The 25,533-nt window shown below is 33.3% G+C and overlaps 1 protein-coding gene across 58 annotated transcripts in view; it reads left to right on the forward strand.

Annotated features, from left to right (window-relative positions):
* Positions 1-25,533, forward strand: part of RALYL (RALY RNA binding protein like) — a 739,058-nt gene that overhangs the window by 522,436 nt on the left and 191,089 nt on the right. For 3 of the 58 annotated variants that reach the window (NM_001287244.2, NM_001413324.1, NM_001413329.1), the window contains exon 1: positions 705-838. The exons of the other annotated variants lie outside the window; for them this stretch is intronic. In NM_001287244.2, coding sequence (NP_001274173.1) covers positions 802-838 — 37 coding nt within the window. In that variant the 5' untranslated portion in view covers positions 705-801. Of the gene's footprint in view, positions 1-704; positions 839-25,533 lie in introns of those variants that run through there. 58 annotated transcript variants of the gene reach the window in all.

Raw genomic sequence — 25,533 nt, forward strand, 5'->3', positions numbered from 1 at the left:
CAGTGTGAAACATATTCAGATAGGGATATGCCCCAACTACTGTCAAAGTAGAGAACTGAGGACTAAACTGAGGCCCCAGGGGTTGGGGGTGGGGGAAGCTTCTGGAGAGGCTTCTTGCAAGCAGGAGCAGAGTGCCTGCTACATAGTAGGCACTCAACAAGCCTGAGAACCTATTGTGTGCACCTTCTATGTAAAGTTCTGTGGATATAAATGTGAAAATGTGCAATTTCTGTTTTGCCTGAGAAGTATAGACTGGGGAAATAGACAAAACTAAAATTGAGAATTGCTTTAATAATTGAACATACAAAGTGTATCAGAGATTCTCAGAAGAAAAGAATTTAGCAGAGTTTCAAAATAATATACAAATTTCAGTATTCTATAGTGGTTAAAAGATATATGAACCTAATTTTTAATTTATATAAATACTAAACAAGGTTTTTATATTTAGATTTTCAGTTTTGCAATTCTTGCTAAATATATGAATCTATTCTTAATCCAACATTGCTTCATGGACAGCAGTTTAGTAGTACAGATTTCATTAGAGAACTTAACTGCTATAGGATCGGGGGAGGTGAAGGAAATACAATTTTCCCTAGAAGATTTACATTAAACAGAGTAGTTACAGGCTGTAGCATCTCCCCTGTAATTTTATGAGAATGGTATTACCCTGGCTTTCACTGTGTGATTGCTGGTTACCTTCTGTCAGTGAGCAACAGTCTTACTGCAAAGCAGGAGCACAACCCGTCTCTTTGTCTCCGTGGTCAAATCAATTACTTCTTAGAAAGTCTAATTTTTTTCAAAATGACCATGTACAAGAGCAAACGCAGACATCAGAGATGTAAGTAAAATCTGACCCAACTTTTTCATATCACTGGGGTAGGGAAAACATACTTGATTTCTTAAAAGACTAATCATGACTTCTTCAGATACATCCTGGTAGTAGAAAAGATACTGTAGCTTTTCTCACCCTAACCTTTATCTTTATTCCTGTAACATGCATGAAAGATGTTGAGGGCAGAGGGGATAATTCGCTTGTTACCATGGAAACCCTTGGAAAGGTTTACAAAATCAACAGAGAAACAGATCAAATGCAATTTCAGTCTAGCTCAGCATCCTTCATTCAGGCATGATCACTGGACAGTTCTCTTTTTTGCTTTTCTAGGAGTGATAGATTTTCTTTCCTGGAAGTCTATTGAAAGGTTTGGGAAGCTAGCCTAAAACTTCTCGTTATTCATCCAATTTCAATTACAACTCTTAGGGAGTAGAAAGCAGTTCAGAATGGAGGGGAGAGAGTTAATTGTGAATGACAAGCTAAATATTTAACAGGATATTCATTGCCAAACTTCTTGGTCCAGAGCATGCTAGTGACATAATTCACTACAGGCACCATTTCAAAGGGTTAAAAGGAGTCATCTGCAGTCTTCCCTAAAGGAACTGATTCTGGCTGAAAAGGAGCAGCACAATTACCCTGGCGTAAAGTCCAGAACAAAGATTATTATGGAACTGAAAGCTATCAGGATCTTGCTAAAAATCAAAAGATTGTTATAACACTATTTTACGGTAAAGCAATATGCCTCTCAAGAAAAGCTTTACAATCACCTCTCTCTAGTAAGTTTAACTCTTTATCACTTTATCTTTTCTATTGTCTAAAGTAAATAATACCATATTTAGCCCAAAATGGTCTGTCACTGTCTCTATTTATCGTCATAGACAGGTAACGGCAACTTACTCTGTACTCAAAGTCTGTACTTTTTCATTATTTCTTTTGATGTCTTTAAATGTTATCAAATATTTTGAAAATCAAAGTCTATCAGTCACAATTATCCTATCAAAAAGCCAATAAATCATATAAAGATAATTTTTAGTGCGATAATTTATTCTTTGGTCTGTTTTCACCTAAGATCTGAAAACTAACATTTCTCCTGTTCAAAGAAGTTTCATGCACCACAGAAAGCTCTGAGGGCTAGGCTGCCAGTTTGATTCTGCAAGCTTGATTGCCTTTTGATGCCAGTTCTTTCTTGTGATAAAGAAACAATATATGATAACTGCTACTTTTTTCAGGTAAAAATGATTGGTGTGAAGTCTACACATATATTGCTGATTAATTTTCTTGTGATTTCCTCTTACAAGAATGAATCTAAATTATGCATAGATTTGAAAACCATCTTGTGCCTTTACTCCTGTATCTTTTATATATCCCTCATTTTTTTTCCTTGTGGATTATCAATGCCTTAATGCACATGGAAAATAAGAGATTCACAGAAAAATTATACTGAGTGTCTCCCCTTAAAATGTGCTCACTGAAGTCTGCGATTAAGCAGCAGGAAGAAATTGTGAATTACATGAGACAAGTCAGAAGATGTATAATTATACAGGCATAAACACAGTAGGGTGTACTGGAATGGTTCAGTTAAAAAAACTAATGTGTTACTTAAATTTAATTGTATCAACTATTTTATGTTGCATTAAGTTTTTCTATATTCTAATAATATAAAATATCAGAGAGCAGGAACATAATAAAATTAAAGTATATAGAAAGCTTAGCAATAAAAGCAAATAGAATCCTTAAATGAATTTCTTAAACTAACAATATTTGCAAAAGTAGAATGTAATACAATGGTTTGCATTCCAATGCGTAAACAGAAAAACTGGAATTTTCCCATCACCAAAATCCAGGGCATTTCCATTTTCAGTCATATCTTTTATGCGTGGGTTTTTGATCATATAAAAGGCATAAACTTACCTAGAGGCAATTGTAATCCAATTAAGGCAATAATTGTACATTCAAGAAAACCTCACTGTAGGAAAGAAGGAAAGTCTTCTTACAATTTTCTTTAAAAATGAGATAGTACATAAATCAACTTTCTAATTTTTCTCATTATCCAAAGATTTAATATGGTATCTTTTAGTAAAAATAAGTGTTTCCTTTCAGAGGATCTGACAAAAGGAATAGTAAAGGTGCATGTGGCTATGTCAGGAGTTTGAGGAAAAAGGAGAGAACAAAAATACTTATGAGAGAGATTTTAAAGTACAAATTGTACTAAACCTTTGAAGATTCATGTGGGGCTTTGAAATTCATTCTCTACTCATATTGAGATTAGTTATTTATAATTCACTATACAAGAGGAGGAGAGGGAGGGAAGAGTGCCCATTGCCTTGCTTCTGATAGTACAATTGCTAGGTAAAAGGAACAGCTTAGTGTTCACTCAAATAGCAGATCTTACTTGTGCAAAACTGCATTAAATACTTTCAACTGTATACAGAATATTTTGAGTGGTATTAAAAAATGTTTGCATATATCAGATGCTGATATTGCCAGAGCCAAACAGGTACAGACCAATTTAAGGAATTCTAATACATGCAAACCTGTTTTTTTAAAATTCGGATTGATTTGGGAATTAATGTTTAACTTTTGAGTCCATTTAAATACTAAGTTTTTATACATATATAATAACAAAATTTATTTAACTGTGAAGTTTATGTTTAAATTTTCAAAAATTTCTGTATACAACAAGGAAAACCTGTAACCTCCCTTGCTGAAACTCCACATGACCTTGAGAAAACATTTTTGGAGTTTTATAAAAGACACATGAAGGTACATTTTTAAAAAATGAATATGTTTTTAAAACACTGACGTAGAGGAAAAAGTAGAGTAGAAGCCATAGGATTTTGAAAATAGCACAATACCTGTGCCATGGCAAAGAAAACAGTGTGAATCGAGTTTCAGATATGTAACATTTCATCTTATTTTACTGAATTGGAACAGATCATGTATTTTTTATTCCTAATAATATCTTTGGGTGAGCTTATCGACCTTATCCATATTATCATGGAAATACTTGAGATCACTTCAGAAATCTAAATACTAGTCATCATAGCCCTCTTCTTATAGTCTTGGCCAATTATCTATTATTTCTGTGGGTTGCAATCTCTTCTGTAAGTTTAGTAGATTGCACTGAGAAAGTGTTCTGTAGGGTACCTTCCATCTCTAACCCTCATTGCCTCCATAACACAACCCTCATCAGGTCATTCCCCTACTCAAAGACATTAATGGTTTCTCATTGACTAGATAATGGTGGCTCTGGGCTTGTGTGCTTCAGATCCTTGGGTGCCCATGGAGTTACTACAAGGTTACTACATATTAATATTTACATAAATATGAATCATTGTATAATGAAGAAAAATATATGTGTATATGGACATACACGTGTATATATACATAAACATATACATACATATATGCTTTTAAAGTTCTAAAATATGTTTAATAAAAACAAATGTATTTAAAAGGTGGTGTACTGCATTTGTAATAGCTTTTTATACCATATATTTTACTTTAAAAAAAAACTATAGTACATGCAGCCCTCATTATGTTTTGGTATTCTTTTTTTTAAAAAAAAAACTTCATACTCCCGAAGGTTGAGAATCACTGAACTAGAAAGTGAGTACAAGCAAGACCTTATAATGTAGAAATTTACATGATTGTCATCTGCCCACTACTTTCTTCTCTTCCTGGTACCACCTATATTCTACCCTTTATCAAGCTACCAATTGTCAGCCAGGCGCAGTGTCTCATGCCTGTAATCCCAGCAATTTGGGAGGCCAAGGCGGGAGGATTACTTGAGTTCAGGAGTTCAAGACCAGCCTGGGCATCATGGTGAAACCCCATCTCTACTAAAAATACCAAAATTAGCTGGGCGTGGTGGCAGACACCTATAATCCCAGCTACATGGGAGGCTGAGGCACAATAATCGCTTGAACCCAAGAGGTGGAGGTTGCAGTGAGCCAAGATTGCACCACTGCACTCCAGCATGAGTGACAGAGCTAGACTCCATCTCAAAAAAACAAACAAATAAACAAAAAAGCTACGAATTGTCCTTGAAATTCACTATATTCTCTTATCTCTATGCCTTTGCCTATTTATCTTCTTGTTGATAGATGGCCTTCACCTGCACCTTCACACCTCTCTGTTGAAGGTTTCACTCACATGCCACATCCTTCCTAAATGCCTCTCCAGTTTCTAAGTCAAATTGCTCTTTCCCTTCTATCTTTTCAGTTCATATATTTTTGTTTGTTTGTTTGTTTGTTTGTTTTGAGACAGAGCCTCACTCTGTCACCAAGCTGGAGTGCAGCGGTACAATCTCAGCTCACTGCACTGCAAACTCTGCCTCCAGGTTCAAGCGATTCTCCTTCCACAGCCTCCTGAGTAGCTGGGATTACAGGTGCCCACCACCATGGCTGGCTCATTTTTGTATTTTTAGTAGAGATAGGGTTTCACCATGTTGCCCAGGCTGGTCTTGAACTCCTGACCTCAGGTGATCTGCCTGCCTTGGCCTCCCAAAGTGCTGGGATTACAGTTGTGAGCCACTGCACTCGGCCTCAGTTCATATATTGTAATTTTTCTTAAAATTTCTATATTCTGTCTTATATATAGAAAATTATCTATTTACACCACTAATCTCTAAGTTTCTTTCATATAAGGTATTCTTTATTCTTGTTTGATACATTCTCAGTGCATAATATGATGCTTTGCCCATCAAAATCCATGGCTGTCTAATGAAGTTTATCGACTTAAATATATATTTTTGACCACCTACTACTTTCCAGAGACTGCTCTAATGGTAGGGCTATAGCAATGAGCAAAACAACATTTTATTGAAGATAAGATGACACACAAATAAATATGTAATATGCTATGTAATGCTAAGTGCTATGGAGAAAAATAAAGCAAGTAAGGGAGAAATGGAGTTTTGGAATGTGGAGTGAGGAATTTCTATTGTCTATGGGGAAGTCAGGAAAAGCCACTTACTAAGGGGACATTTGATCAGACACCCTAAAGAAGGAGGAAATTGGTTCAGTTTCTCTCTGGATAGTTACAAGTAGAAATAGCATATGCAAAGTCCCTGAGGAACATTGGGATAATTGAAGGACCAAGAAAGAGTCCAATAAGTAGAGTGACTAAAGATGAGGTCAAAAAAGCATGAGGAACATTGGATAGATAGAGTAGGACAGACAACAGATTTTAACTGAAAAGTCCATTTCATTTGTAACTGAATTAAGACATAATATGTATATACTAACTTTTAGAAATCACTATCCATATTTCTAAGTGACTTGTGCAATAATTTTTAAATGACAAGTTTTAAAAGTATTTTTAAAATAATCACTCTCCATACATGGCAAGGCATGCAGTCATTGACTGGAAGACAATCAAATTTTGGTCATCCAGAAGTCCAAAAGATATTGTTTGACCAGGAATATTTTCTGACTTATCTTCTTATAAATATCCTTGTATTCTTTATTACAAGAATTAAAATTAAGTCTACCTCTCTTTAAAAATCTTCCTATGAGAAAAAGTAAATTTACATTTTGATAGAATTGTTCTAAGGCTTTTTAAGGCATTGACAGGGAAAAACAAGGCTGTTGCCAGTCTCAATTGATGTGTAAAATTGGTCTCTCAGTGATCAACAGTGATAATAGGTTTGATATTTTGTAATTTTTAGAATATGACTTGTCTTAGCAGTCACATATTTATTAATGTGTTGTGTTTTATAGAAGTCTTGTTTAAAGGTACTTATTGAAATTGATTACAAATTAAATAGCAATATAAAAATGGATTATTTAAAACAAATACTTATGTTGATACCATGATTTCTTTGTAACTGTGAAGACAGAAGAAATAATTTGTTATTAATTCCCAAATTACTTCATATCTTAAGTGTTGATCTTTTTTGTTACCTAACGAGTTGAAAATGTGATCTAGGTTTTAAAACTTTTTTTAAGTTTATACCAGAAAAAACAAACTATTTTTAGGCTTGATTGGTAAAGGCTCTCTAGAGGACACTATTAAATTCAATCTTTGATTTCTCTATTATTGATGCTTGTAGGGAATTCTGGTATGATATATGCAATGTCTTCAGCCCTTTTTATTCTCAAGTTCTAGTATGAATTCTATAACTGGTAGAAATTGAGAAATTGTAATTTTATAGATTCCTCCATGGAATCACATGTGCATGGATAGAATCAGTGCAGTCTGAATGAGCATGCACAATGGGACTATAAATGCCAGTTTGGGAGCAGAGACGTACAAAGGCTGACTGATAACACCCCGATACAGATTGACCTTAAATGGAAATGCATATTGGTCTGCCTCATATCCTTAATCACAGGCTTTTACAGGCTCCAGCCTGTGACTGGTTCTGCCTGCAGAAATATATTATCTCTCTCTCTTTCTCTCTCTGTGTCTCTCTCAGAAAAAAATCTGATGATATTCATGTATTTTTCTGTTTAACAATGCCCCACACATTCAAAGGTCACTTTTGTACCAGGTGAGCATTTGTCCATTTCTCTCCTGTACTTTCAGAAAACAACTTGACTATCATATGTCACCTGCTCTTTTAATTTCTCTTCTAAGAATCTGTGCTGCATTTATATCTACACTTGCATAAAAACCGTGGCATTTACTCTGTCCCCAGGTGTTTAGGTAATTGTTTTCTGCAGAGTATACTTTATCACTTCAAAAAATGTTACAGTTAAAAAATAATGTTAATTTGTATCTGTTGATAAAAGAATTATACATGTGAAACAACAAGACACTTAGGAAAATAAGATTGGTGTTAAATGAAGATATTAGTCTATCATTTTAACATACTGTCATGTGGTTTGCAAACATTTTCTTCCATTCCATGGTTGTCTCTTCACTCTGTTGATTATTTTTCTTTGCTGTGCAAAATCTTTTTAGTTTGATGCAATTCTATCTGTTTTTGCTTGTATTACCTGTACTTTTGGGGACATATCCAAAAAGTTTTGGCTCAAACTAATGTCAAGAAGCTTTTCTTCTATGTTTTCTTCTAGTAGTTTCATACTTGTAGGTCTCATATTTAATTCTTTAGTTCATTGTATTTTTGTATATGGGGTGAAATAGAGATCAAATTTCTTTCTTGTTTGTATGGATATCCAGTTTTCCAACACCATTTATTGAAGAGACTATACTTTCCCTATTATATGTTCTTGGCACTTTGGTAGATCAGTTGACTAAAAATGCTTAGATTTATGGCTGGACTTTCTATTCTGATTAACATATTTTCAATATTAAACTCTTCATGTATTTTTAATATTAATCATAACTCAAACAGCTCAATAGCAATAAAATTAATAACTTGATTGAAAAATGGACAAAGAATGTGAAAAAGTCATATCTCAAAAGAAGACATACAAATAATCAACATACATATGAAAAAAGTTCAAAATCACTAATCATCAGGGAAATACAAATTAAAAATTAAAACCACAAGGATATATCACATCACACCTGTTAGAAGAATTGTTATAAAAGTGTCAGTGAGTACATAAAGTGACAACAAGTGTCAGTGAGTACATAAAGTAAAGGGAATTATTTTACACTGTTGGTAGGAATGTATATTAGTACAACCATTATGGAAAACAGTGTGAAGTTTCCTCATAAAATAAAAATAGAACTACCAAATGATCCAGCAATTTCATTTTTGGGAATATATTCAAAGAAAATAAAATTAATTATCTCAAAGAGATATCTCTACTTCCATTTTTATAGCAGAATTACTCACAAAAGTCAAGATTGGAATCAACATAAATGTCCATCCACAGATAGGATAAAATATATGATATATATATATCTCATATAATATATAAATATCATATCTCAGACATATACATGTTTCATATATCATATATATCATATGTAAATGTCCATACACAGATGAATGGATTAAAAATATGATTATATGAGATATATGTATCTCATATAGATACAACACACACACACATACTCACACACACACACACACCCCAATGGAATACTATTCAATCTATAAAAAGAAGGAAATCCTGTCACTTATGGCAACATGGATAAACCTAGAGGACATTATGCTAAATGAATAAGCCAGGTACAGAAAGATAAATACTGTGTCATCTCACTAATATTTGGAATCTAAAATAGTGGAAGTCATTAACAGAAGCAGAGAGTAGAATGGGGGTTACCAGAGGTTAGGTGGACAGGAAGGGCAATGGAAACATGTTTGTCAACAGATACAAAATTTTAGTTATAAAAGCAATACGTTCAGGAGATCTATTGTGCAACATGGTGACTACAGTCATAACAATATATCATATGCTTGAACATTGCTAAGGGAGTAGATTTTAAATGTTTTCACAAAAAGACATGGTAATGGATATGTTTCATTCATTAAGTTGACTTAGCCACTCCACAATATGTACATATATGAAAACATTATATATATATATAATTTTTATTAATCAATAAACTAAAATAAAATACTGTCATGAATGCAAGCAGTTTGACATGACTAAAGAAAAGATAACCATTCATAAGCATCAATGCAGTGTAGGAAGTAGTGTTTTCTATGCTCTAACATATGCCATCTTTGAAACATCAGAAAGCAACTTTCTTAAAAACCATGATCTGTCATAATTATGTGTTTTGGGAAATCTTTTTGGTTGAGCAATATGAAATCACCAGTTTTGTAAGTCAATGGTTAAATCTAATAAATACCAGCTATTGCATAAGTGGGCAAGAAAAGGGGAGAGGTGGGTATAATAAGCCATTATGCCAGCACAAGTTGGCATTAAAAGCATAGGGCTGTTACAGTTAACCAAGTGTGATTATGTAATACACTAAAAATATCTAATTACATTAGGGAATATATGCATTGTTGCTCTTTAGGATATATAAGGTTAAACTTCCTACAAAAAAAATGAAAGTATGTTCAGTGTCATCAACATAGATTAACTAGATGACTTTATTTTTTCAAGTGACATATCAGAGCTTTTCTAGAAAGTATCTACCTTCAACTAAACTTACAATGTTTATTATAAGCATTTGAATTCTAATTTTACATATTTTATCATTAAAACTTTGTTTTCATCCAAAGGGAAAATTGAGTAGTTCTAAATGAATTGGGTAATGATAATAAAATTGACAAATATATTGAATGTTTACCATATGTCAGGCACTGTTTTAAGCATTTTGTTATAGATGACTAATGTAATTTACATAAGAGAGCAATAATCAAACATGTAATAGAATAATGAAGTAATTTGTGATACTTCATTTTTATTATAATTTCAAAATGTTATTTATGATTTTATTTCTAATCTCTAGGAAATTGGACACCCAAAATTAAATTAAAATATGAACATTGAGTGGAGTTAAAAAGCAACCTTATATATCTCCTAAGGAATCTAATAAATTAACTTTAAAAAGCAAAATATAAGTTTTACCAATATCCCTACCCTTTAAATCATATAGAAACAGAAAAAATATCTTGAGGAAAGTTTTACATAAATATAGGCAAACAAAATATCTGCAAATGAATGTATTTGTCTCATATGCTATCTTTTCTGCAAAGGAATGAAAGGTTTCCAGAACTTAGAATAAGTGAAGTTCTCTGCAGTGATTTTAGTAATTCATTGTGAATCATTACACACTTCTTGATCTAGAACAGCTAAGTTGTTTGGCATAACCTTTTGATTCATTTTCCTTTTTCTACTTATTGATTTTCTTAGCACTATTTACTGAATTACACTCTTATTCTAACAATGGAATTTCTGACACCTTTAGTTATATAGGAAAACATTATATGTGTGTAAATATTGACTCAAAGTATTAATGGTCTCTTATTATTGACATATTATCTCTAGAACTTCATTTGTATTTAAAATAAAAATTATGTCCACATTTATTTCCTTAGACTCCGTATAGAGTATGTGGCATATATTTTTGTAATGTTCCATGCCTTGGGCTACCTATCATTGGAAAATGTTATATTTCATATTAGACGATTCTTTTGACCCCTAGTAAACCTGAAACTGCCTTAGAGGAACAGCTGAATGTATTTCCTTAAATAAACACATTGTTCTTCAAATTGCTAGTGTTTGTCTTCTTAATAGGCTCCACAGGCAATGGGAATGTTGACTTTGAAGTCACCTCTACTGGGTTCATGTAGATAAGTCTATTTCATACCTTTTTTCTTCCCACACTTAACAGTGTCTTTCAACTCACGTTTGTTTTAAGACAACTATAAATGCATACATACTACATGGAATATTTAATTTTTATTTAATTTATAGTCTCAGTAATTAGTGAGAGGTTGGCTCACAATTACATAAAAATAAACTTAGACAAAAATCAGAAAAGGTTTACTTTTAATTGAGGTATGAGGAAAAATTCATTTACTTGGTCACATGCTTGGCCTTCATAAGGTAGCAAAAGATAAATGGTCACTTGCATTGTATAAGTGGTCGTAAAATTTTTCTCAGCACTGAACTGTCCTCCAGAGCTATTTATATGAAGCTAGTCATTTTCTAATGATCACTTGTAACATAGATGATACACTCAATTTTGATAAATGGGTCCAAACTCTCCTAAAGAAGCTGTACCAGTAATACTCCATGAAGCTTTCTAGAGTTTGTTTGCTTATTCACTATCCAGACAGAAATATTTTGCATATTTTTCACCATCCCAGTTTTCAAGAACCCAAGCTAGAGTTTGAGAAAATTCTATTTGAATGGACATAAAAATTTATTTGATTTTGAAATAAAAACAAATCATTAAAAATTCTACTTTAAAAATATGCTTTGAAACTTGAGTATCTAGGAAAAAAGTTAATAACCAAGCACAGGAACAAAATACAAGAAATTGTAGCATAAAGATCATAGATATGCTTTGGGAGGCCAAGGCGGGCAGATCACGAGATCAGAAGTTTGAGACCAGCTTGACCAACATGGTAAAACCCTCTCTCTACTAAAAATACAAAAATTAGCCATGCATGATGGCACACACCTGTAATCTCAGCTACTCAGGAGGCTGAGACAGGAGAATTGCTTGAACCCAGGAGGCGGAGGTTGCAGTGAGCCGAGATCACGCCATTGCACTCCAACCTGGGCGACAGAGCGGGACTCCGTCTCAAAAAAAGATCATAGATGTGTTTGTTACTATGATTCTCTTTTTGGTCTCTGAAAATGGGTCCCTGGAAATTAGAACCATATTAAGTTAACCATTTCTTATATATTAGAAACAGTTGTTTATCAGGTTAAAGATGCTATATTTTTTGTACTGTATAAACAGCCATCTAACATAGTCATTTGTTTGGGGAAGATACTAGCCTTTGATAATACTATTTCTCTTAGATTACTACTGGCAGCAATTAATCAACAGTTGTAGTAATTTACCCTATACTTCAAGCCAAATTAACAGTCTTGCCTTGCTTATATGAATATTAAAGGATAATGTGGCATTGGGCCTGGAATTCTCAGTAAGTTGCCCACATTGTTAATATTTACCAATATTAACTTAGGAATAGGCTGCAAGGTGTAAGGAATGTCTGTTTTAATATTCATTTTAAAAATACATGTTTTAAATATTGTAATTCAGTGTAATCACATCAGTTATGATAATTTCATTTTGGGTCCAGGATAATTAAATCTGGAATTGCATAAGATGCACTACAATGGTAATATTATTTCATTATTCTTTGTAACTAACATTCCAATCACTGGTATAGATTGACATTTGGAATATGACTATCATCACACAATTCTTTGCCCTAGGAGACTTCCTAATGGGCATTTTTTATACCTTGCTGTAGCCTTTTATGTACTTAATAACCGTACAGTTTCATGTAGCTTCATAACAAATAACTATCATTGCCATATTTATGTGGTAATAAAACTAGTTTAAGGTATTTTTATGAAGCTATTTATGGCTTTTAGTCATTATTGAGTTTTTTATGACTATTATAAAGTGGTATGGCTTAAGAAAAATTATAAACTCCCCTATGGGTATTTGTCATGATTGAAAATAATAGAATTCTTTTTGTTGTTATGTCTTGGGAAATTTTATTATCTTCTGTCTAGAAAAGCAAAATACTAGGGATCTTCAATCAGATTATTACCAAATTATTAAGATTTTGTTCTACGTATTGAATGAAAGCATATATTCCATTACTTGTCCCAATTGAAATAAACATAAACTGCCAAATTTCCTGGAAAACAGTATATCTAGAGGTCATTTCAGTTGTTAAGTATGTGTTATCAACTTAAGGTTTTATTAGTTGCTCCTTGTAGGTATTCTGGGTCAGTTTCATTATTATTTACTGAAAGCATTAATATTATTTACTCATACAAACTCTATTTCTTAGTTGTTATAGTAAAGACAGATTTTTTAATTATTGCATAAAATTGTATGTTAAGAAACATTCTCTGGCCGGGCGCGGTGGCTCATGCCTGTAATCCCAGCACTTTGGGAGGCCTAGGTGGGCAGATCACCTGAGGTCAGGAGTCCAAAACCAGACTGGCCAACATGGTGAAACCTCATCTCTACTAAAAATACAGAAAATTAGCTGGGCGTGGTGGTGCATGCCTGTAATCCCAGCTGTGAAGGAGGCTGAGGCAGGAGAATCACTTGAGCTCAAGAGGCAGAGGTTGCAGTGAGCCGAGATCGCACCACTGCACTCTAGCCTGGGTGACAGAGTGAGACTCTGTTTAAAAAAAAAAGAAAAAGAAAGAAAAGAAAATAAACGTCTAATTTTATGACTTTTAAAAAGCAAGGCATTTCTTGACCTGGTATTATCTTACTTTGAAGGTTCATTTGTTGACATCTCACCTTGCATATTTCAGATTAGTATATGATACTGAAAATTCTTTCTGTTCTCTGAAGCACTCTTTCCATCATTCATACATTATGTTGTTTCCATTTAGAACACTCTCCTCTCCTCTTGTCTGAGCTAATTCCTACTCATCCTTCAGGTGCCAGCTTAGATAATCACTTCCTTCTGATACATTTCTCTAAGCTGCTGGTGGCTGGTAGAGTTTATCTTTGTTATGGATTCCTCTGTAACCTGTATGTATTCTGTATGTAATTGATAATTTATCTAGTCATTTGGCTATAACCCCCAAAGACAGAGATCAGGTCACTATTTTCATTCTATATCCCCAGCATGGTCTGGCCTAGGAAGCCCTCAATTAATAGACGTTGAAGGATAAACAGAACGGATTGCCTTATTTATGTACCTGTTGTAGCAACTAGAAATTTTAGTCATTTGCCCCAAATATGTTACTATGATATAGGCTGTTTGTGAACTATCTCTTGCCTTTTTATATTCACAGATGTGTATGCATGATATCACCTGCCAAGTCCTTTTTGTTCTCAGGTTTTGGAGTTACTTTTTCTACTGACAACCCTAATTTCCTTATTTGATGAGAAGTATGAAAAGGAATCTAAAAATACTTATATGCTGGGCAATTTAACAATGTTTAAGGCATACTTTGAAAGTGCCATGAAATCCATATTATAATTTTCTCACAAGCCCTATTGTTGTACTAATTATTAAGCAATGATACTAGTTTCTAGTTAATTCATGGCTTATTTTATTTATTATACTTTTTAAAAATTGACATAAAAATTGTACATATTTATGGGTTACAGTGAGATGTTTTGATACATATATATTGGATAATTATCACATCAGGGTATTTAGCATTTTCATCATCTCTTTGTGGGGAGAACATTCAAAATTCTCTCTTCCACCTATTTTGAAATATATCATGCAATATTGTTAACTATAGTCAACACACCAGAACTTACTCCTCCTGTCTAACTGTGACCATATATACAGTTAATCAATCTCTCATTATACCCCAGCCCCTTTCCACTCTCCAATCTTTGGTAGCCACAATTCTACTCTCTACTTCAATGAGACCAGCATTTTTAGATTATTTATATAAACGATATCATATTTGTCTTTCTGTCCTAGCTCACTTCACTTAATGTAGTGTCCTCCAGGTTCATGCATGTTGTCACAAATGATAGGATTCCAATCTTTTTTATGGCTAAATAATATTCCAGTGACATACTGTGTTGAAATAGAAAAAAACTCATCTTAAAAAATGTGTATGGAACCACAAAAAACCCAAATAGCCAAAGCAATCTTAGGCAAAAAGAACAAACTAGAGTCATTACACTACCTGACTTCAAAATATACTACAAAACTACAGTAATCCAAACAGCATGGTACTGTCATAAAAATAGACACATAGACAAATAGAAAAGATAACCCAGAAATAAACCTGTATACTTACAGCCAACTGATTTTTGACAAAAATGTCAAGAACATGTAGTGGGGAAAAGACAACCTCTTCAACAAAGGGTGCTGGAAAAGCTGAATATGTACATTTAGAAGACTGAAACTAGACCTCTATCCCTCACTGTATAAAAAATTAACTCAAAATGTATTAAAGACTTATGTACTATAAAAAGACTAGAAGAAAAATAAGGGAAATGCCTTATGGCATTGGTCTGGGCAAAGATTTTTTGAACAAGAACTCAAAAGCATAGGCATCGAAAGCAAAAGTAGAAAAATAGGATTTCATCAAACCAAGAAGCTTCTGCACAGCAAAGGAAACAATCAACAGAGTGAAGAGAAAATCTACAGAATGATGGAGAATATTTGCAAACTATACATTTAATAAGGGGTTCATATCCAAATTATATGTAGAACTCAAACAACTCAATAGCAAAAAAAAACAATGTGATTAATAATGAACAAAAGATCTGAATAGACATCTCTCAAAAAGAGACATACAAACGGATAGCAGATATATGAAAAAATTGTCAGCATCACTTATCATCAGGGAAATGCAAATGAAAATCACAATGAGATATTATCTCACCCAGTTAAAATGGGTATTATTAAAAAGACAAAAGGTAATAAATGCTGGGGAGCATTTGGAGAAAGGGAAGTGGGAATGCAAACTAGTACAGCCACAATGGAAAACAGTATGAAGATTCCTTTTGAGACTAAAAATAAGATGGGGCAAGATGGCTCAGATCTGTAATCCCAGCATTTCAGGAGGCTGAGGCAGGAGGATAGCTTGAGGCCAGGAGTTCAAGGGAAGCCTGGGCCACATAGTGAGACCCTATCTCTATTAAAAAAAAAAAGAAAGAAAGAAAACAAAACCTAAAAATAAAACTACCATGTGATCCAGCAGTTTCATTACTGAGTACTGGTTATATACCCAAAAGAAATGAAATCATATGTCCAGAGATATCTGTATTCCTATGTTTACTGCAGCACTGTTCACAATGGCCCAAGATATGGAATCAACTCAGTGTTCATCAACAGATGAATAAACAAAATGTGCAGCATATGCACAATGTAATAGTTTCTATTTAATTTAAAGCTTCCAGATTATTTTATCATTTTAAGAAATGAAGACTCATAGCTGATAACACGTTCAGAATTAAAACTTGTCTCTCTATATTCTGTTTCCTCCCCCATCAAGGGTTGTCTCTGCTGCTAAGTGTCTTTATTCCTTAAATCAATTTTGCATCAGTTAGAGGAACAAATTGTTTTTCCACAGATTTGTAGCCATTAATCTCAGCAGTAACTCAGTGAATATTTTTTTTAACATCAACATCAGAAATACATGGACAGAAGGGAATAATTTGAACCAAGTCCAGGACATACTGGCTGAATCTATGAAAGTTAAGACTTCATGTCATATAATAAATCTTTGTCACTAATTTATGCTACTTTAAAATTTGGGGATATGATTAGAATGGTCATATAACATAATGCACACTTTCTTACTCTGTTCTTTCATTGTCTTCTCCATTATTACTGCTACTCAGTAATGGTATCAACTGGAAATTCTTGAATTGTAAGTAAAAATGACCTCATTTCCGAAGCATTTAAAGTTATTGCAGGTGAAAGCTCTCTCAAGGGCTTTCAGTGTTTCAATACGTGGATGTACAATGTCTGTCAATAATGAATGCCACACATTAAATTAACTTGAATAGTTATAGCCCAAACTTTATTCTCAGCTTTGGCAAATTTCTAACATAAAAGCTTAGAATGTAAGAATTGAAAAAAAGCTATTAGAATAATACAGATACTCTGAAAGGACCTCTAGATTGCTACACATATTTCTTTCTTTTCTGAGTATAATTGAGATTTCCAAAAATTTTTACTGAATGTTCATTTTATATTCTGGACTTGGTAATTTAAAAAAAAAGATAAAATTGTTAAAAGAGCAATGAGTAATTCAAAGAACTGAAGACAAAATATTGTATGGTTGATAAATTCATATCAACCTTCTTAGCTGAGATGATTAGAACACCAGGGTAAAGTGGCCAAGGTCATAGGGTTGAGCTGTCTGTGGCCCAGGTAGTTTATCCTCTTTCTGGGTCACAGACCATTTTGGGCACTATGCCCAGACATTCTTTAAAGAAGGACCTAGTCCCAACACAACAGTGGATGAAAGAGGGAAACAGGTCAGGGCCAATACACAGCTGTCAGAACTACAATGTCTCAAGGTCAGTATATTCCTAGAGTGATTTTATATATATATATATATATATATATATATATGTATGTATATAAAATATTGTGTATATACATATATACAATGTATATTGTATGGTATGTTTTGTGTATGTGTGTATATATAATATTATACATATCACTCTAGCAATATACTCACTTTACATATGGATACACATAACACTAGATATATACATATATATATATAGTGTGACAATTTTGTATAAAAAAGGGAGAATAACTGTGTTTGAATAACAATTATTTGTTTTTGTTTTAATTTATAAAGGCAGTAAAAATCAACCAGGTTCACTTCACTTACTTTTTGAGCAGGTGTCAAGTTCACACACTTGAAATTTCACAGGACACAAAATATCTACAATTTCAAAAAAAGCTTGCTTCACTGAAGTATATGAAGGTAGTCCCAATATTTTTCATTATATCCTTGCATGCATAAGTAAAATTTTAGATAATTTAAAGGACATTGAAATAATTAAGTATGCTGTTGTCTTTTCTCTTGAGGCATCAGAATGGGTGTAACTAAATTTATATAGGAAACTTGACTTTGTTCACCATGAAAGAACCGAAGAATCTGAGATTTGTTTTATTGAGGAAGGCTTAGGCTTGGTTCAGGCCCTACTGTGAGAAGAATTAGTAGGAAAAGTTCCAGCTTTATCTAGTGAGATTGACATTGTGTCATGGCATCTTTCTTAATTTAATAAGTATAAATCTTACACCTCCACTACCAGTGCAGTACTGACTTACTGTCGATTTGAACCTAAAGTTATCACATGCATCACACTTAATCATAGTGGTTTTCATAAACTTAAATTCAGTTGGGCAGAATTCTCTGGATATTTATATTGATTCTATGCTCCAGTTTTTATAAACATAACCCAGCAATGACATGGAATAAAGCAAAAAAGACTTCAGAGTTATCGAAGCTAAACTTTTGATTTCATAGAGGAAATAGGTTTGTTCTATTGCCCACCAGAAATGGTGACTAATAAATGTGTCTTTCCATCTTTCTTCTATGAGTAACTAGGAATTTCTTCAGCATTAGTTACTTCACTTTTTTTAGAAAAGGAATGTTGTCACTGAAAAGTTAAGATTTAATAAAGATTCACATGAGAATATTCTTCTCTTCTGTTTAACATCAATCTTTAAGTAGTTATTTTTATTATTGCAATAGTCTCTCTTCCTAATAAGTCATTTTTTTCTATACTCACCATTCCCCCACCCAAACCTCTAATGCTCCCTCATTACCCTTTATTCTATTAAAATGCTTATCATGCTGTAAATTATATTTATTTCTTTGGGTCACTCTTTCCAGTAAACTATAATCATTAAGAGTAGTTCTGTTACCTTTGCATCACCTTATCTGGCTCTGTACCTGGTTCATAGTAGGATCTCAGTGAGTATTTGATGAACAAATAAATGAATGAATAAATGAATGAATTCAGTAATATTGTTGAGTCTGTTTTTATTATACTTTTAAAACTTCTGCTTATATTCAGTAATGAAACATGAAGAAATTAAATCAGATATTTACCTTTACTAATAAAATTGTACCAGAGGGAGCCATAATATTATTGTCAGTTTCTAAAATGTGCAAGGCTACAAAGGGTGAAACCTCTTTGAATTAATGCCTCTTAATGGTTGGAAATTTAATCAGTAGTCTTCATTCACAATTTAAGAACTTTACATTGTCTCTCTTTCAGTAACAGTATAAATGACAACTTTCATATCTGAATCATAAATAATTCATCATCATGTATTCACCCCTTTAGAGTGCTAAGCATACCATAGAGGAATCTTTGTTAAAGATATTTGGCTAGCCATCTACTTAGTTATGTTAGAGGAAAAATATTCAAAGCTCTTGACCTAGTATTCCAATTTCTGGCAAACTTTAAAAGTACCATCTTTGACATTCATTTAGAATTCATCTCCTTGATCACTTTTGGCCCACAGTCACAGGCTTTGATTCAGAACTTCTAAAGCAACTTTGTTTTGACCTCTGCTCTGTTATTTTCCAAGTCATTTTAAAACCAAGACCAGAAAAATATCCTGCTTCATATTTTATCAAAGTTTTCAATTATCCCATTGGATTTTATTTCATCATCTTCCCCACACTATGTACAGTAAGTTGTTTAAGATTTTGTAGGCAAATTTCTCATTTCCATAGAATTTGTGCTTAGAAATTCACCAGATAATCATCAAATCAATAGTCCTTAATTAAATACTAAGTATATATACTCTTTATTTTTCACAATGCTTAATTAATCTCTCCAAATAGAATACTTCAATGCTATGTTCATCATGGAAGTAATAAGCTCTAAGAATATTTTATGTTGCAATCACTAATTAATTATGAAGCATAGCTTCATTTTTTCCTTGATGTGCTATCAACCTGCTGTTTATCATAGTCTGAATCTTATGGCAGGTAAGGTGGTTATATATATTTCAATTATATGTAATTAATGAATATTGTATAATTTTTCTACTGCCTAAGATCTGCCTAAATCAATACTATTTTTTAATTATCTTAGTACCAATGCTATTCAAGTGTTTTATGTCAAAAAAGTCATTTTGATAGTTTAGGCAGAGTCTTAGGTTTTTTCTTTCTTGATATAATGTGACTGCTAAGGCCATTAAATAATATATGAAAGTACATTGCTATGACAAAATATCAACCAAGAATGGATATAGGCCACACTTATTTCTTTTTCCATTACTATAGAAATTTGATTTGTGGTAATGGCAGTTAATTATTTTGAACAATGAATCCAATCAGTCTAGTCAGTTTACCAAGGAAAAAGGAATGTATTAAACAGTAACTTTGATAATATTGGGATGGACTACTGAAACAGATTAAGTAGACTGATTCATGCTTTAATCAAAGCAATGTTGTGTCCTTTAGTAGCTGATACATCTGTTCACACATAGAAGAATGATGTTTTGTGAGCAAACTTAATTTTCAGTTCCTTTAATAACAATAATTTTTATATTCAGCATGTTCTAGTTGAGTTCTCACATTAGGTAATATACGTCTGTGAGCCCTTCAATTTAGAAATATGAGTTATTAGTAAGAAATATGAGTTATAAGTAAGAGATTATTAAACTACCAGAATGCAGATAAATGAAACCCATAATGAATAATACAGATTCCTATATACTCTTTTCATAAACATTAGAAAAGATGAAAAGCTTAATTTAGTTGACCAATGACCCACATAAATATATTTTATGGATATTTTTCTGGATGTATATAGGAGTCACAAACACATTTAATAGTATTAAGCAATCTTAGTTTGAAATCATCAGTTTCGTTTAAATTTAAAATGAGGACTATGAAAACAATTATGCTTTATAAGCAACTGTTTATATTTTCATGAGATTTAAACAAAGCAATTTAAATTTACAAAAATTTAAGGCAACTAAGTATTTCTTTGTTATAAAAGTAAATTCAGATGTAAAATAGCCTCAAAGCAACTTGAATATATAAAATCAAGAAATCCATAAACAATCATCATTTTGAATAATTGCATTTATAGCCAAACCTGCTCAGTGGTAATGTAACTAATCTAGATCACACTTATATAAAAATAAAATTGTGTATAATTTTATTTTTATATATAAATATATATAATTATATCTAATTTTATTTTTATATATTTTATTTATATATTTTTAAAAATAAAATTATATATATTTATAAATATATAATTATATATAATTTTATTTTTGTAGGTATAGTCCTGTGCAATGTCTTCCTTACAGATAATGGTTGAAAATTAGAGTATAAAAGAGGTATTTTTGTTACTACCTAGCAGTTCACTTGATGTTGGTAGACTATAACTAAAGGATAATCTGTAACCTAATATGATTTCAACTCTATTTTGACTTTCAAAAGAGAGAAATAAAATAGCACTATATCATTTCTAACAAGTGTTTATAAGGTAGAAATTGCCTTAAATTCACATTTAAAAGAAACCATGCAAAACCTTATAAAATAGCAATATATATATGTACATATATATGATGTAGAGAGAATCTATTACTCTTACATGGAGGCAATTTCCAATAATTTGCTATATTTGTCCTGCTCTTCTCAGTTTTATGAAGTTTTTTTATGGCTCCAGCCCAAGTATTCTCAGATTTTAAATGAAGAGAGCATTAAATTCACCAATTTACTTAGCAAACATTTATTCAATGGGAAATGTACTGTGCTAGGCCTTGTGAGGGTTGTAAATATAAATAAGGGCGATCCCCATCCTCAAGAAGTTTACACAGACACAACACAAGGTAGTTAACAAAATGCCTTTGCAGCCCTCAGGAAAATAAGATTAGTTCTGCTACAGTGTTTAAAACTTGAAGGATGGGTAGACTATCAATAAATGGAAGTGGAGAATAAAGTATAGAATGAAACAGCAGATGAAGCTTGGAAGACACTAAGTGTGTTTAGAGAATGAAGAGGGGTTAAGTTAAGCACCAAATTCCCCTTGGAAGGCTCTACTGAAAAGTGGGTTATGAGACATTATAATAAAAATACACATCGGATTTGGAAGATATTCAACAGTATACTTAGAAGCGTGACATTCATGCCAAGATAATGTTATCAAATGTTGGGCATCTCTTAAGATGTATGAGACATGATTCTGCGCTTCTGAATTCATCATCTTAGCTGATCTTCACAACAAGCCTGTAAGGAGTTATTACCTTCATTTTATAAAAGGAAACATTAAACCCTGAAGGTATGCAACGATTTCCCCCAAAATTGATGAGTGTCTGAATCAAAAAACAAAACAACAAAAATCTTTCTTATTCCAGAGGACTAACTCTTCACTATATTTTCTTTTCATTTTTTTTATTTTATTTTTTATTATTATTATATTTCAAGTTTTAGGGTACATGTGCACAATGTGCAGGTTAGTTACATATGTATACATGTGACATGCTGGTGCGCTGCACCCACTAACTCGTCATCTAGCAATAGGTATATCTCCCAATGCTATCCCTCCTCCCTCCCCCCACCCCACAACAGTCCCCAGAGTGTGATGTTCCCCTTCCTGTGTCCATGTGTTCTCATTGTTCAGTTCCCACCTATGAGTGAGAATATGCCGTGTTTGGTTTTTTTGTTCTTGCGATAGTTTACTGAGAATGATGATTTCCAATTTCATCCATGTCCCTACAAAGGACATGAACTCATCCTTTTTTATGGCTGCATAGTATTCCATGGTGTATATGTGCCACATTTTCTTAATCCAGTCTATCATTGTTGGACATTCGGGTTGGTTCCAAGTCCTTGCTATTGTGAATAGTGCTGCAATAAACATACATGTGCATGTGTCTTTATAGCAGCATGATTTATCGTCCTTTGGGTATATACCCAGTAATGGGATGGCTGGGTCAAATGGTATTTCTAGTTCTAGATCCCTGAGGAATCGCCACACTGACTTCCACAAGGGTTGAACTAGTTTACAGTCCCACCAACAGTGTAAAAGTGTTCCTATTTCTCCACATCCTCTCCAGCACCTGTTGTTTCCTGACTTTTTAATGATTGCCATTCTAACTGGTGTGAGATGGTATCTCACTGTGGTTTTGATTTGCATTTCTCTGATGGCCAGTGATGGTGAGCATTTTTTCGTGTGTTTTTTGGCTACATAGATGTCTTCTTTTGAGAAGTGTCTGCTCATGTCCTTCGCCTACTTTTTGATGGGGTTGTTTCTTTTTCTCTTGTAAATTTGTTTGAGTTCATTGTAGATTCTGGATATTAGCCCTTTGTCAGATGAGAAGGTTGCGAAAATTTTCTCCCATTTTGTAGGTTGCCTGTTCACTCTGATGGTAGTTTCTTTTGCTGTGCAGAAGCTCTTTAGTTTAATTAGATCCCATTTGTCAATTTTGTCTTTTGTTGCCATTGCTTTTGGTGTTTTAGACATGAAGTCCTTGCCCATGCCTATGTCCTGAATGGTAATGCCTAGGTTTTCTTCTAGGGTTTTTATGGTTTTAGGTGTGAGGTTTAAGTCTTTAATCCATCTTGAATTGATTTTTGTATAAGGTGTAAGGAAGGGATCCAGTTTCAGCTTTCTACATATGGCTAGCCAGTTTTCCCAGCACCATTTATTAAATAGGGAATCCTTTCCCCATTACTTGTTTTTCTCAGGTTTGTCAAAGATAAGATAATTGTAGATATGCAGCATTATTTCTGAGGGCTCTGTTCTGTTCCATTGATCTATATCTCTGTTTTGGTACCAGTACCATGCTGTTTTGGTTACTGTAGCCTTGTAGTGTGGTTTGAAGTCAGGTAGCGTGATGCCTCCAGCTTTGTTCTTTTGGCTTAGGATTGACTTAGCAATGTGGGCTCTTTTTTGGTTGCATATGAACTTGAAAGTAGTTTTTTCCAATTCTGTGAAGAAAGTCATTGGTAGTTTGATGGGGATGGCATTGAATCTATGAATTACCTTGGGCAGTATGGCCATTTTCATGATATTGATTCTTCCTACCCATGAGCATGGAATGTTCTTCCATTTGTTTGTATCCTCTTTTATTTCATTGAGCAGTGGTTTGTAGTTCTCCTTGAAGAGGTCCTTCACATCCCTTGTAAGTTGGAACCTAGGTATTTTATTTTCTTTGAAGCAATTGTGAATGGGAGTTCACTCATGATTTGGCTGTCTGTTTGTCTGTTCTTGGTGTATAAGAATGCTTGTGATTTTTGTACACTGATTTTGTATCCTGAGACTTTGCTGAAGTTGCTTATCAGCTTAAGGAGATTTTGGGCTCAAAGAAGTGTGTAGAGGGAAATTTATAGCACTTAATGCCCACAGGAGAAAGCAGGAAAGATCCAAAATTGACACCCTAACATCACAATTAAAAGAACTAGAAAAGCAAGAGCAAACACATTCAAAAGCTAGCAGAAGGCAAGAAATAACTAAAATCAGAGCAGAACTGAAGGAAATAGAGACACAAAAAACCCTTCAAAAAATTAATGAATCCAGAAGCTGGTTTTTTGAAAGGATCAATGAAATTGTTAGACCGCTAGCAAGACTAGTAAAGAAAAAAAGAGAGAAGAATCAAATAGACGCAATAAAAAATGATAAAGGGGATATCACCACTGATCCCACAGAAATACAAACTACCATCAGAGAATACTACAAACACCTCTACGCAAATAAACTAGAAAATCTAGAAGAAATGGATAAATTCCTCGACATATACACTCTCCCAAGACTAAACCAGGAAGAATTTGAATCTCTGAATAGACCAATAACAGGATCTGAAATTGTGGCAATAATCAATCGCTTACCAACCAAAAAGAGTCCAGGACCAGATGGATTCACAGCTGAATTCTACCAGAGGTACAAGGAGGAACTGGTACCATTCCTTCTGAAACTATTCCAATCAATAGAAAAAGAGGGAATCTTCCCTAACTCATTTTATGAGACCAACATCATCCTGATACCAAAGCTGGGCGGAGACACAACCAAAAAAGAGAATTTTAGACCAATATCCTTGATGAACATTGATGCAAAAATCCTCAATAAAATACTGGCAAACCAAATCCAGCAGCACATCAAAAAGCTTATCCACCATGATCAAGTGGGCTTCATCCCTGGGATGCAAGGCTGGTTCAATATACACAAATCAATAAATGTAATCCAGCATATAAATAGAACCAAAGACAAAAACCACATGATTATCTCAACAGATGCAGAAAAGGCCTTTGACAAAATTCAACAACACTTCATGCTAAAAACTCTCAATAAATGAGGTATTGATGGGATGTATCTCAAAATAATAAGAGCTATCTATGACATACCCACAGCCAATATCATACTGAATGGGCAAAAACTGGAAGCATTCCCTTTGAAAACTGGCACAAGACAGGGATGCCCTCTCTCACCACTCCTATTCAACATAGTGTTGGAAGTTCTGGCCAGGACAATTAGGCAGGAGAAGGAAATAAAGGGTATTCAATTAGGAAAAGAGGAAGTCAAATTGTCCCTGTTGGCAGACGACATGATTGTATATCTAGAAGACCCCATTGTCTCAGCCCAAAAACTCTTCACTATATTTCATTCCACTTACCATGAATGAGGATCTGTACAACGTTCTGAGCAGCACCATGGGACATAACAAAACTCGTAATTTGGGGACATTA

This window comes from Homo sapiens, chromosome 8 (assembly GCF_000001405.40).
Source record: "Homo sapiens chromosome 8, GRCh38.p14 Primary Assembly".
NCBI lineage: Eukaryota > Metazoa > Chordata > Mammalia > Primates > Hominidae > Homo > Homo sapiens.